At 35.9% G+C, this 14,562-nt stretch overlaps 1 long non-coding RNA gene across 1 annotated transcript in view; it reads left to right on the top strand.

Moving 5' to 3' along the window:
* Positions 1 to 7,750, top strand: part of LOC124900637 (uncharacterized) — a 34,506-nt gene extending 26,756 nt beyond the window's left edge. Inside the window, exon 2 of the long non-coding RNA XR_007058725.1 lies at positions 7,552 to 7,750. This is a non-coding gene — a long non-coding RNA (uncharacterized LOC124900637). The remainder of the gene's footprint in view (positions 1 to 7,551) is intronic.
* Positions 7,751 to 14,562: the final 6,812 nt, after the last annotated feature.

Below are 14,562 nucleotides of genomic sequence, written 5' to 3'. Positions count from 1 at the left end.
CCATTGGTCTTTTAACAGATTATTGTGTATTAGCTGCTTTTCACTGAAGTCAAGTCTACTGATCAAGAAGCAGACACATCAGCTAAAAACTAGTAACTTTATAAATGACCCATTTGCCAGTTTCCAAGCATTATTTGAAATATTTGCATTTAAAATTGGAGAGACAAATGTAATTTTAACTTTCCATAAAAATTGGTTATTAATTGCAATGAATTTTCAAGGTTCTAGTTCTATAATATAAAGCAAATTTATACTATATTAAATTGTACATTTATTGTGCTACTTTCAAGCATTTAGTTTTAATAGCCCTGGGGGAGACTGCAGCTTGTTTTACTGTGCTCAGCAACAAGTCAAGGCTTGCGTTGTATGTCTATTTACCTCCTATTTGAAATTCTTTCTACAAGTATCTTTCTGCTGAAGAGGAGAATTTAAAGATGAAACTGAAGTACAAGGAAAATCTTCAATTTTGGTCAATACTTGGTTCACTTAATGTGAACCCTAATCCTAGGATCTAGAAGGGGACTTACCACTCAATGGTGTGTTCTTAGGAAGCTGTGTATGTCATTAGGAACATGATTGAACTTCTTTTTCATCAGCTTTCTCTTCATGAATCCTCTTATGGTTTTTGCTTGCTGAGATTAATACTACTTATGTTGTAAATAAAGAAGTATTTTTAATAAGTAAGGCAAACCTCTTAGGTACCTTCCTGTGGTCAATTTATTAGATGAATTCATAATGACCCTCATACTTGTGTATTATCTGGGTTGTACTGAAATTAGCACATACCATTAATGACCTGAGGAGAGCTGTGCGAGGGTAGTTGTTCATCCTCTTTTATGGTCACAAACTTTATTCCTAACCTGGCTATGTACTACTGGTTATAAAGAAGACTGGGTAAAGAATAAATCCATCACCACTACAAGGAAAATCCTTGGGATTTAAAGATTTAAATTGGGATTTAAAGAGGCATGAGACATGGTTTCTGCCATCTCGGAGCTCATAATCCAATGAGTTGGAAGTAAGCACAGAATTACAATGTAGTTTGTTAATGATATGATTAGGGTGTGTACTATATCTTTTTCTAAGGGTGAGGTTTGGGTCAGGGAGAGCTACCAGGTGGAGCTAACCTAAGATGTGAGTTCTGGAAAGACAAGTAAGAGGGCTACATAGGCAAAGGAAAGGGTGGGCAGACTGGGAGGTGTTTGGGGATGTGAGGTGCAGCACAGTAGAGTTAGAATAGATGGTAGTTAGGTGAGATACCATTATGAGCAACCATGTGTCTGAGCTTTGCAGTTCTCACACACCTTCATTTCAACCCATTCTATAGGCAAGCAAAATATCATTCCTATTTAACAAGTGAGAAAAGTAAGGCCAGAAATGTTGAGTGAATTACCCAAAATCTTATAACTGCTACAGTCGGGGTTTGAATCCAGGTCTGGTGACTCTAAATTCTGCCCTTTTAGTATGCCATTTTGTTCAAGTCCCTCTAAAGTGAATAGTGAGTTGGACTATCTCTTCACTCATAAAAACGTACCAGTTTTCTTTCTGAGACTATACATTTTTTAGATATATCACGTGTTATTTCACTTTGTACCCTCAACTGTGCTTAGCATGTGCTTGACTTGTAGTAGATGGCCAATCATTGTTTTGAACTGAATTGAATTGATGTATGGGTATTGTAAAACTTCTTGAATGAATGAAAGTCTTGGCCAGGACTTTTCACTTTTTGCTCTCCTTACTTAGTTCTCTTCCAGTCTGTTCTTACCTTCACAGGTGTCAACTCGCACTAGCACTTCATTCCCAGATCCAAAACTCAGAACTGCAGCTTCTCACCCTCTAACCAGACTCTCCTTTGCATGTGGTAGAAGGTTCCTTTTCAGATACATTTGTGTAGAACCTATGCCACATGTTTAGGTTTTTTTCCCTTCATATTCTTCACTCCAGACAAAATCTTGACAAAGAAAATTATGCCTTTGTCTTGGCAAATGGTGTTTGTTATCAGTTTTCTTTTCTTAAAACACTAGCAGAAGGCACAGGCACTCGGCTTCCTGTGAAGACCTTGAAGTGATTGTGTACTATTTTTCACACTTGCTCTTGGCTAGGGTGATGATGACATTTTTGTTTTTAGTGGGGTTTTTTGTTTTGTTTTGTTTTTGAGACGGAGTCTAGCTCCATCACCAGGCTGGAGTGCAGTGGCACGATCTTGGCTCACTGCAACCCCTGACCCCCTGGTTCAAGCGATTATCCTGCCTCAGCCTCCCGAGTTTTGGTGGTCTTTTTTACCTCTACTTGAAATTGATGAAAAAGGAAACTATACAGTTTGTCTGGAAAGGAAATCAGAGATCATTTGATGCTGACCTGATGTTAAATGAGGACAGGGCTGAATTTAAGCAACAGAACTTATTTGTACTGACTGCTCTCCACTTTCCAGCATTTGAATTGTGTTGACATTCACAGGAGCTGTGTGAGGCCAATTTTGTGTCAGAAAACCTGAATTTCCAAAAAAGTCTATGGAAGTAATTATATGACTCTAATGGTTCATCTTCCCCACTGTAACGTGAGAGACAGGTCCTAAAGGACAACCTGCATCAGTCATCACTGGAAAAGCCTGTCCTGTGTTGGAGTGGCCCCATACCGAGTGTTTCTAGTGTTTCTAGTGAGGAATCCACCATTTCTCTTGGCAGCCCTTCCAATTCTCTGTCCATCACAGCTTTTTCCAGATGATGAGGCTTGTTTTCTGCAGCTGTGTTTGGCCAGATGGTCGTGGGTCATTCTCCCAGGCCCATCCCCATTATGCCCAATAACGTGTGGGCCACAAAGTTCTGATTTGGATGGGGTAGGGGGAGAAGTGTAAATGTTGTTAGCTTAAAGATTCATGTTTTAGTGTTACATTTTTGCTCTTAGTTAAGCCTCCAGGATCCCTGTTACTTGTTTCTTACAAATGGGAGATATCAAATGTAGTGATATCTAGCTTTACTTTTTATCATCACTTAGTTCTGTAGTGACAAACCAGTACCTCCACATCCAGTCTTCATCAATGTCGTTACATCTTTGTGGGGACCTAATGTCACAAGAAACATGAGGCATTCACTTGACCAGTACACCAAATGTTCCTGGCCCACTTTCAAGCAGTACTCTATTGGAAAATCATCCATAATTTTCTGGCTGCTGTCATTCCTGAGCCTCTGCTTTCCATAACCTCTCATTCCTGTTGAACAGCTGTGCTTCTGATTAGTTTTCTCTGGAGGTATTAACTATTCAGCACTCTGCACAGGGAAACTTTTGAAGTGATGGGAACAATGGGCCCATCCTTGCTTTGTTCCAGCCAGTTAGTCTGCTGTGCTTCAGAAAAAACACTGAGAGAGACATGAAACTAAACAAAAATAAGAATTCACATAAAATTTTCCTAAAAGAAATCTTGAGCATTGACATTGTAAAAATGATTATCCACTCAGTATGAAACAGTGTGTTTTCTTGTGTATATTTCTCTTATCTACTTTTTCCACATATTTTGAGAAACAAATATTTAGTTATTAGTAACACATACCAGTTCTCTGAGAATTTGAAGAGAGAATGAGTGACTCCAGTTGTCAAAGGTAACTATACATAACCACTTTTACTCTTTTTCTCTGACCATCCAATTTTAGTTCAGATTCTATTGTTACATACACTTACTGAATGACATTTTCTTCATAGCATTTACTACTCATTCAAGTAAAATCTGTTTTACAAATGTAAACACGGGGTTCAAGCGACTCTCCTGCTTCAGCCTCCCAAGTAGCTGGGACTGCAGGCATGCGCCACCAAGCCCAGCTAATATTTTTGTATTTTTAGTAGAGACAGGGTTTCATCGTGTTGGCCAGACTGGTCTCGAACTCCTGACCTTAGGTGATCCACTCATCTCGGCCTCCCAAAGTGCTGGGATTACAGGAGAATCACTTGAACCCTGGAGACGGAGGTTGTGGTGAGCCGAGATCTGCCACTGCACTCCAGCCTGGGTGACAGAGTGAGACTCTTATCTCAAAAAACAAGAAAAGAAAAGAAAAGAAAAGAAAAATAATTCTATAATCCTATGTAATTCCTATTACAGAATAAAAGATTATCTGTAATCTTTCATTTTTATGAAAAATATTTCTATGCAATTCCTATTATAGAATAAAAGATTATTCATACTCATAAAAGATCATCTATAATCTTTTATTCTGTAATAGGAATTACATAGAATTTTTCAAATTTTTCAAACAGTATATCAATTTTGTATGCCTAAAATAAACTCAATTTAAACATAATCATCATTCTATTTATCAATTGATGAATTTTCTTTGCTAAAATTTTTCAAGGACTGAAAGATCTGTAGTAATATACACATTTTTATTCCTAACATTGATTATTTGTGTATTCTGTTTTTGTTTCTTGATGAATCTCCTCAGGGAGCTATTAATCCTATTAGTCTTTAACGGAAACAAATGTCCTGGAAGGAAAAGAAAAGGTATGTACAGCTTTGATTTTGTAGAGAATTTAATGAAGGAAATATCTAAAGGTATGTTGTTAGGGAACCCAACAAAGGATTCTGAAGCTCTCAGGTACTAACAATAAGAAGCCATTGCCATTACTGGGCTTGATATATTCACAGGAAAGGAGCCTAAGCATATAGAATTAATAGGAATGAATGGATCTTATGATAAGAGGTGTGCTTGTAGAGGGACATAGCCCCTGCCACAACTATAGCGTTGAGGCAGAGAGGAAACAAAGGAACGATGGCCTGATTCCTTGTTTTCCTCCTACAATTCTGTCTCTTACCAGTGCCTCTCCTTGTCTGAACTCTATCAGAAGGCTAAGTTTGCAGAATATAGTGGTCAGCCTCCTGAGATTGAGAAAGGCAGAAAATAGATCTTGGGGTCAAGCAGAATAGGCAGCACACAATGATCTAATCCCCTCTTAAAGGCCCCCACCTCACAACCCTGTTACATTGGCAATTAAATTTCAACAGAATGTTGGAAGGGACAAACCATGTTCAAACCATAGCAGTTCCTAAAAGGTGACCATAAACCTCTGCCACTATGATTATAGATTTGTCTATTTATCCTTATTTTTGTCAGTCTTTTTATTTTGAGGCCATGTTATTAGGTTTATATGAATTCAAAATAGTAATATCTTATTTGTGAATTAAATCTTTTAATCATTATGAAGGATCCTTCTTATCTCCAGTGATACTTTTAGCTGTAAAGTCTAATTTGATGTTAATTTAGTTATATCACCTTTGTTTTCCTTAGTGTTGGCATGGCAAAATTATTTTGATCCTTTCTTTCAATTTTTCTGTATGCTTTCTTATGATCTGGCTGTGTCTTTTGCAAACAGTCTATAGTTTGTTTTTAAATATAAATGAAAATCATTATTTTAATTGAAGCATTTAATTTATATGTATTGTATTTATTTTTATAGTTGTATTTATATCATCTTACCATGTGTTTTCTATTTGTTGCACTTGTTCTGTATTCTGTGCTTGGCTTACTTTCGTTTATTATTATATTTTTTCCTCAATTGATCCAGGAATTTTGTATTCTTTTACTATTTATATTCTTTTACTGAGCAAGCTATCAATTTGAATTTTAATCCTTTAAAGGTAATCTGCCCTTTTTCCTCTGGTTGGTTTTAAGCTTTCCCATTTGTGGGCCACAATAGCTCGCACCTGTAATCCCAGCACTTTGGGAAGCTGAGGCAGGACAATCGCTTGAGCCCAGGAATTCAAGACCAGCCTGGGCAACATAGCAAGACTTCATCTCCCCAAAAAAAAAAAGATCCTATTTGTCTTTTGTTTTCTGCAGTTTTTAGTGATTACTCTAGAGCTTATAGCCTGAATCCCTTACTTATTATATCTAATATTAATTAATAGTAGCTATATTAATTAGAATGAATTAGAATAAATGAGCAATATTTACTGACCTTCCAAGTTACATGCTGTTATTTTTGTGCATTTTAATTCTTTCTATATTTATACAGTCGATGTTCATCTACATCTTTCCACATATTATCATTTTTGTTGTTTTCCTTTTTTCTACATTTCTAATCTTCCATCTAAATCATTTCCCTTTTTCCTGAAGAATATTCTTTAGTATTTCCTTTAGTTTGGTTTATATATCTTTTAGATTTTGTCTGAAGATAATTTTATTTTACCTTTATTCTCTATATTTATTTGGGGAGGTATAGCTTTCTAGTTTGCCAATTATTTTTGTTAAGCACATGAACAATATCCTTCCATTAACTTTTGGTTCTCATTGTTTCTTTTGAGAAGCAAGCTGTCAGTCTGATTTTTATTCCTAAAGTAATCTGCCTCTTTTTCTCAGATTGGTTTTAATATTTCTTATTTGTCTTTTATTTTCTGCAGTTTTTCTATGATGTTTAAATTGTGTATCTTTTTAATCCTAGTTGGGGTTTGGAGCTCTTTTTCAACCTGTGGATTGATGCCTTGCATCAGTCGCAGAAATTCCTCAATCATTATCCTTTCAGATAATACTATCCCAATTCTCTCTTCTCTGTTTAGGGCTCCAATTAAGCCTATGTTAGACCTACTCACTATATCCTCTAAATCTCCTATCCTATCTTTTATATTTCCTATCTTTTTGTCTTTCTGCTTTTTTTTTTATTCTGGATATTTTCTTCTGACTTATTTTCTATTTCACTAACACTTTCTTCAAATGTATCTAATCTGCTATCAAACCCATACTTAGAGTCTGATCTATTTACTAACTGGGTATAGAAAGGTCAAGGACCATTTTGGCTGTACTGGTGCATACCAGTGGAGTATTAACCTTGGTGATGTCAACCATTACCAAGGATTTAACTACTAATTGTATGTCAAAGACTCTGTAGCTTAATCTCTTCAACACATTCCTCCCTTTAGAACTCTAGACCCAACAAACAAATGCTTACTTAACATTCCCCCTAAAATTACTTCCAGGTATCTCAAACTTTACATGTTTAATATTAAACATTCTATTTCCCATTCAAATCTGCTGTTCCTTGCACCTTTCTGTCATCAGTAAATAGAATTCCCACCAATTTATATATTCTTGCCAAAGCCTATGAATGGTTCTTGATATATCCCTTTCTCTTATCTTTAATATCCAGTCTGTCAGAAATGTCATCTGTTCAATTTCCAAAATATATTTGAGTCAATTCACTTCTCTCCAACTTAACTGTCCTTCTACTAGCTAAGCTACAATCTCATTGTATCTTTTCTTTATCTGTTCTCTCTGTTTCCACTCTTGTCCTTTATTCAGTTGTTTCTCCATTCAGCATTTGAAGAGATCTTTGTAAAATCTTAAATCTCTGACTTTTAAAAACCCCTCTAGGATTTCAAATGCTTTCCCATAATACACAAGACAATACATGTCTATTACAATAGCCTGCTTCTCCAACTTCCTAAAAACTTTCTCTCACTATTTAGCCATACCTATTTTAGTTTTTTGAAGGTTGGTTTGTGTTTGTTTGTTTGTTTGTTTGTTTTGGCCTAAAACTCTCTTCTCCTCACTCTCTCTTTCTCTCTTTTAGGCTTTAGTTTATATTATTCTCATAGAAGACTTCCTCATAATCCAATTTAAAAAATGAGAGTTTCCCTGCACAAGCTCTTGCTTTGCCTGATGCCATCCATGTAAGACGTGACTTGCTCCTCCTTGCCTTCTACCATGATTGTGAGACTTCCCCAGCCACGTGGAACTGTAAGTCCCATTAAACCGCTTTCTTTTGTAAATTGCCCAGTCTTGGATATGTCTCTTTTTTTTAATTTAATTTTATTATTATTATACTTTAAGTTTTAGGGTACACGTGCACAATGTGCAGGTTTGTTACGTATGTATACATGTGCTATGTTGGTGTACTGCACCCATTAACTCATCATTTAGCATTAGGTATATCTCCTAATGCTATCCATTCCCCCTCCCCCCACCCCACAACAGTCCCCGGAGTGTGATGTTCCCCTTCCTGTGTCCATGTGTTCTCATTGTTCAATTCCCACCTATGAGTGAGAACATGCGGTGTTTGGTTTTTGTCCTTGCGATAGTTTACTGAGAATGATGATTTCCAGTTTCATCCACGTCCCTACAACGGACATGAACTCATGATTTTTTATGGCTGCATAGTATTCCACATTTTCTTAATATGTGCCACATTTTCTTCATAGTATGTGCCACATTTTCTTAATCCAGTCTATCATTGTTGGACATTTAGGTTGGTTCCAAGTCTTTGCTATTGTGAATAATGCCGCAATAAACATACGTGTGCATGTGTCTTTATAGCAGCATGATTTATAGTCCTTTGGGTATATACCCAGTAATGGGATGACTGAGTCAAATGGTATTTCTAGTTCTAGATCCCTGAGGAATCTCCACACTGACTTCCTCAATGGTTGAACTAGTTTACAGTCCCACCAACAGTGTAAAAGTGTTCCTATTTCTCCACATCCTCTCCAGGACCTGTTGTTTCCTGACTTTTTAATGATCGCCATTCTAACTGGTGTGAGATGGTATCTATCTCATTGTGGTTTTGATTTGCATTTCTCTGATGGCCAGTGATGATGAGCATTTTTTCATGTGTTTTTTGGCTGCATAAATGTCTTCTTTTGAGAAGTGTCTGTTCATGCCCTTCGCCCACTTTTTGATGGGGTTGTTTGTATTTTTCTTGTAAATTTGTTTGAGTTCATTGTAGATTCTGGATATCAGCCCTTTGTCAGATGAGTAGGTTGTGAAAATTTTCTCCCATTCTGTAGTTTGCCTGTTCACTCTGATGGTAGTTTCTTTTGCTGTGCAGAAGCTCTTTAGTTTAGTTAGATCCCATTTGTCAATTTTGGCTTTTGTTGCCATTGCTTTTGGTGTTTTAGACATGAAGTCCTTGCCCATGCCTATGTCCTGAATGGTATTGCCTAGGTTTTCTTCTAGGATTTTTTATTAGCAGTGTAAAAATGGACTAATACACCACAGCCCCAAGGATACTCATTCAAATTTATTCTTCAGTATTAAAAAATTAGTGCCAAAGAGTAAAGATCATGACATTTTTTTTCCCCACCACCATAAAACCAAGACCTAGTTTGTGTCTGGTACATGGTAGGAACTCATTAAATACTTGTTGAATGAGTGAATGATCTCCAAATGGCAAATTTTACTCTTCCAAAATTAAATTTCGTTCTCTGCTCCCTGTTATGTTCTTTTTGAAAAAAATTTTCTCAACCATAACTTTCCATGTCTGTTATAAGCCATTCATTAGAGTTTTTTGTCAGGTCAGCGCATATTTACAAATCTAGTTAGTTCTTATTTTTCCATTACAAACAAATGTTAGAACATCATTCTCCAAAACCCTATCTCAGAAACAGACAAATTTGCTTTTATTTTTGAAGTTTATTGTTTAGTTTAAATCAGATTTTCTAGATCTTTCCTTTTTACAATACAAACATGAATTCTGTTAACTGAGACTACTTGAAGCTACCCAGTTACCCAGTGTCAGTTTGTACTAACTATAGATTTTTAGACCAATAGCCCTTGTTTTCTCCATACATTTCTTGGAATTTTCTATTGCTTTTGGTATTAAGATTTTTTTTTTTTTGGTCAAAACACTGGGTTTGCCCACCTCCTCCTCCTCCTCCAACAAGATGCCAGAAAGAAAGAAGCATGAGTCATAGGAAAATGAAAGAGGAATGTCTCAAATATTAGGATGAGAAGACTGCTCTTCTCATCTAACAGATTCTCATTTCCTGCCCCGCGTCATTTCTTCCCATTGAAATAACAACTGTAATTCTAGTCATGGGTGTGTGAGTGTTTGTGAGGGTGGGTGGGAGGTCTTCAGAGGTCTCAATAAAAAAGAGAGAGTATGAAACTTTTGTTATTTCCTGTTTCTGAATATGTCTTTTGGTTAAGGATGTTGGAAGGGGTGAGAATCTTTGGATCTCTGTAGTGCTTGTAGTGGTGATGGGGAGTATTGAATGTTTCCAAGCCAGTACGGCACACTGAATAACTGGATCAGAGTTCTCTTTTGGTGGGAATAATATTAATAAATAATGGAAGGTAACTACATGTTGAAGACTTGTAGAGTAATCATGAGTTTCACCTTCTCATGCCAGGTGACTCTTCTTTATGGGTATAGTCCTGTATTTGGTCTTCTAGCTTCCATGTGAAACTAGTCAACTTCGAGAAGTTTTGATCTGTCTCAACAGAAATGAATCAGGGAGAGGGGAAACAAATAAATAAATGGTAGTTACATCAAGGTGGTATACTAAGTATTAAATACAAATTCTCAAAACTTTTACCCATTTTCATTTAAAAATATTTATTTATTATTTGTACTCTCATAGAAAAAAATAAAGATCTCTCAAGAGGTCTCTCAAGACATTTGCAAACAATAAGGTTTTGTTTTTTCATGAGCCAAGATGGATTTTGGTTTGTCCTGACTTTCCTTGAAGTAGTTGTATTTCAAATGATTAATTGCCTTGAGCTGCTTTTAAAAATTGTTTTCCTGCTTCTGTGATTTTTTTATTGTGACAAAATTTGAAGGAAGTAGTAGAAATAATATTAATTATTGAAGTTTCAAGAATTTCTTCTTTTTCCTTTCCTTTAGGAATAAAATTAAAATGTAAAAATCTTGGAATTTGGCATTAACCAGCTTAAAATTTAGTATGCTAAAAATAATAATATCAATTCAACATTATTCTATGAAACTTATACAAAATTTTGGAAACATGGTCTTTACAGATGCTATATATTTCAGTTATACAAGTTCAGAATTAAGTGTTTATGCCACGTTACATTTAGATTATAGAGTTACTTATATTTCCTCACCTTTCATATTTTATTAAAGAGATTCTCTGACTCTCTAGCCTCTAGTAGCTTTTGATAACAGTCCTTTCTCCCTAGGGAACCCAACCTCTCTTATTAATGAAGTCCAAATATGAGTCACCAATCCACATTCCCAAACACTATGCTTTTTAGGTGGCTCTTCGTACTCCTTTACCTCTGGACCAGGCTAATCAGAAGTGGAGGACTTCAAGTTAATAAGTCATGTTATAGAATTTTTTCTATTATAACTAGGGCTCAGTATTTTTTTAAAATCCTAAAATACCACTAAATATCTTTGGCCACATAAAAGACTAGATTTCCAGTTCAGAATGACAACAGATATAGGGCTTGACATATCAGGTACCAAATAATGCTGTGGCAAAGTTTGGATTTTTTTTGAAGATAGTAAGATGTATGCCAATCTGTAATATCACTTGCATTAATGGATTTCCGAGTACTATATAAATCGACGATTATTCTTATTAAGCAGTGCTAATATATTTTACAAACAAAAATTCTCCCCAGTTTTATCCCTTTATATGTGTCATATCAAAAGACTTAGTCAAAGCTGCTTTCTACTGCTTCTGATGTTATATGCTTCATAAAAGTGTCCCTGTGCTATGCTTCTAATGAAACTTTATTTTGTCTTGTTTTATGTAACACATTTGAAAATTCTATCTTTTAAAATACATTATTTTTATTGCTACAGGGGTATTATGTTATGATGCTTTCTTTTACAGTTTATTCTTGTATTGACTTTAGTTCCAAAAATAAATTAATTCATATATTACTTTTGGTAATACCTGAAAAAAATTAAGTTATTCACAAAATATTTGTGAATCCTGAATCAGTGTAAGTTCTATTCAATTACAGAAATAGTAATTGCATACCTACTAGCACTATCTGAAGTTATATAAAATGAGATTTTTGTTTTCTTATTTTTGCTTTTGCCTTCTTCCAGAGAGTATTGAGTTCCACGAGAGAAAGGCCTTTGTTGGTTCACTGCTGGATTGCTGGTTTCTATAATATTTCATGGCACATAGTAAACTGCCAATAAATATTTGCTGAATGAATTCACTTATTCAGAAAATATTTATTGAGTGTCTCTTGTATGCCACATATCTAGGCACTGAGGATAGAACAGTGAATGGGCCAAAGTCCTGACTTTTTGGAATTTATTTTCAAGTGGGAAGAGAGAGATTATAAAATACGTGACCCTGAAAATATATGTCATATGTCTGATGTTGATAGTGCCAAGAAGAAAAATAAAGCAGGACAAGGTGTGGGGAGAGAGAATTATTATCCTAGCTAAGGAATTAAGTGAAGGCCTCTCTGAGAAGGTGAAAAATGATTGAATGTTACTACTCCTGTGCCACTGCCACTGGTGATACTGAAGAAAGTGGAAGACCAGGTCTTAGACTCCAAGGTGAGTATAATATGATGATAAAGTCAGACATATTACCTATCATAAACATAATGTGCAATGATAGTGTCATACGTACATGCTATGGAACAGTGTCTGGAGAATGAAGCATAGCCACCTATTAGCAAGCAGAGTATATGGTGGTGGGGTGGAGGATGACTACAGTCTGAAAATGCAGAACTGATTCTAGGCTGTGAAGGTTCTGCCAGATCAAGGACTTTGGGCTTCAGTCAATAGCTGGTGGGTGACTAATGGTAGTCTTTAAACATGGAAAGGGACCAATCAGAGCTACATTCTAAAAACTAACTGGTAGCAAAATGGGTGGATTCGAGGGCATGAGATTGGGTCAGCTGATGTTTTGATAGAATTTGTGATCAAATATTACTTGAAATAACAGAACCTTAGTTGGGCCAAATCTTTTCTTCAAACAAAAGAATAGTGCTTCCAAGATTTTTGTTTTTATGGTCGAACCGGATTACCATATAAAGACATAAGAAAGAAAGAAATAATATTTCATGACAAACTAGCTGAGAAGGATCAAGAGAAAGGCAAGAATGAAGATTTATAATCTGGGATTTATAGAATAGCTGTAATTGGTACAGGGAAAACACCCAATTTATCTGGATATACTTGTGTTTCCCTATTTAATCCACATGGTGTCATTTTTTACATGTGTTTTCTCAGAGCAGTTATTTTCATTCACAGGCTGTGGTGATGACTCACTTCATTCCCTTTTGGGTATTAGAGGCTCTTATTTCATTCAGGAGATTTTCCGATTCACCAGACAGTGCATTAGACATTATTGTCTTGTTGGAATTTGGCTGGGGGAAAATACTTAAAGAAATATATCACTGTTGCTTGTACCACCCTCACAAACACATTTTATTTAGCAAAATCTGAACCTGATGAGGAATCCGTATTAGTTTGCTAAGGCTGCCATAACGAAGTACCATAGACTGGGTGGCTTAAATGAAAGAAGGTATCATCTCACAGTGCTGAAGGCTAGAAGGCTGAGATCAAGGTGTAGGCAGGGTTGGTTCCTGTTTTGGACATTGAGGGAAAGATACGTTCCAGCCCTCTCTCCTTGGCTTGTAGATGACATTCTTCTCCCAGTGTTTTCACATGGTCTTCCATCTGTGCAAGTCCCTCTGCACAAATCTGTGTCCAAATTTCCTCTTCTTGTAAGGACCCCGTGCTTAGGGTCTACTCTAATAACCTCATTTTAACTTAATTACCTCTTTAAAGGCCCTATTTTCAAATATGGTCATATTCTGAGGTACTAGGGGTTAGAACTTCAGCATATGAATTAGGAGGATGGGGAATTCAGATGATAATAAAGTCTAAATGTTTGGCTTTTTCTCTCCAGATACCCAGTTTCCCTAAAGTGACAATCACACCCAGTGACTGGCTGATGCAGTGCTATAAAGGTCTGTTCCACTTGCTGCAAATTCAGGACAATTCCGTAAAGCCATCCCAGCCCCAGAACTCGCTGTGCCATGAGCTGAGTTCTTTGTTATGAGAGTATCACAGCTCCCCTCTCTACCTAGTCCTACTTCCTCACTCCCTCATAAGTGTTGGGTCCTTATAAATTTGCCAAGGAACTCAACCTGTGACAACTTTAGTTCAATAGATTTGACCCTTTCCTTGCAAGGGAACTATTGGTTTCTTACTATTATTGTCAGTTGTCCTCATTAACAAAGTCATTTACTAACTGGCTGCAAATTACTGAAAATTGTTTGGAACGACAATTTTTCGTATAGACTTCAATGATTATTCTGGCTAAAGGTCATTTTTTTTCTCTGCACTTCTGTAGGACAGCCCTGTACAATTTAGTACTTTAATGGTGATTTGTATTTTTTGCTCATTCACATTTGTAAATTATTTAAGGTTGCACATTTCTTGAAAGTTGATATGCTTCTATCAGATTTTTTTCTGTTCTTCAAAATGTTTAACGTAGTTTCAGAGCTCTAGTTGGTACTTAAGGAATTTGGGAGCATACAGTAGTGTAGATACCCCAGAATTTTTAAATGAGAGTGTGGAATCTGAATTATAAAACTCATATTAGGGAAAGCCTACACTGGGAAAAGAAATTGCATATGTGGTATAAAATAAATAGAAGATCTGTGTTTGAATATTGACTATGCTGTTTACTCACTATGTGATCTTATAAAAGTTACTTACCCTCCCTGAGCCTGAGTTTTCTCATCCATAAAATAGGAATATTTTTAATAGCAATCTTATAAAGTTGCTGTGAATGTTAAATGAGATGCAGTATTAAATAAGATGCATGCAGTATTTAGCACATGATTCAATCATAAA

This window comes from Homo sapiens, chromosome 5, assembly GCF_000001405.40.
Source record: "Homo sapiens chromosome 5, GRCh38.p14 Primary Assembly".
Taxonomy (NCBI): Eukaryota; Metazoa; Chordata; class Mammalia; order Primates; family Hominidae; genus Homo; species Homo sapiens.
The sequence above is the reverse complement of the archived record's forward strand: the minus strand, read 5'-3'. Positions and strand labels throughout refer to the sequence as shown.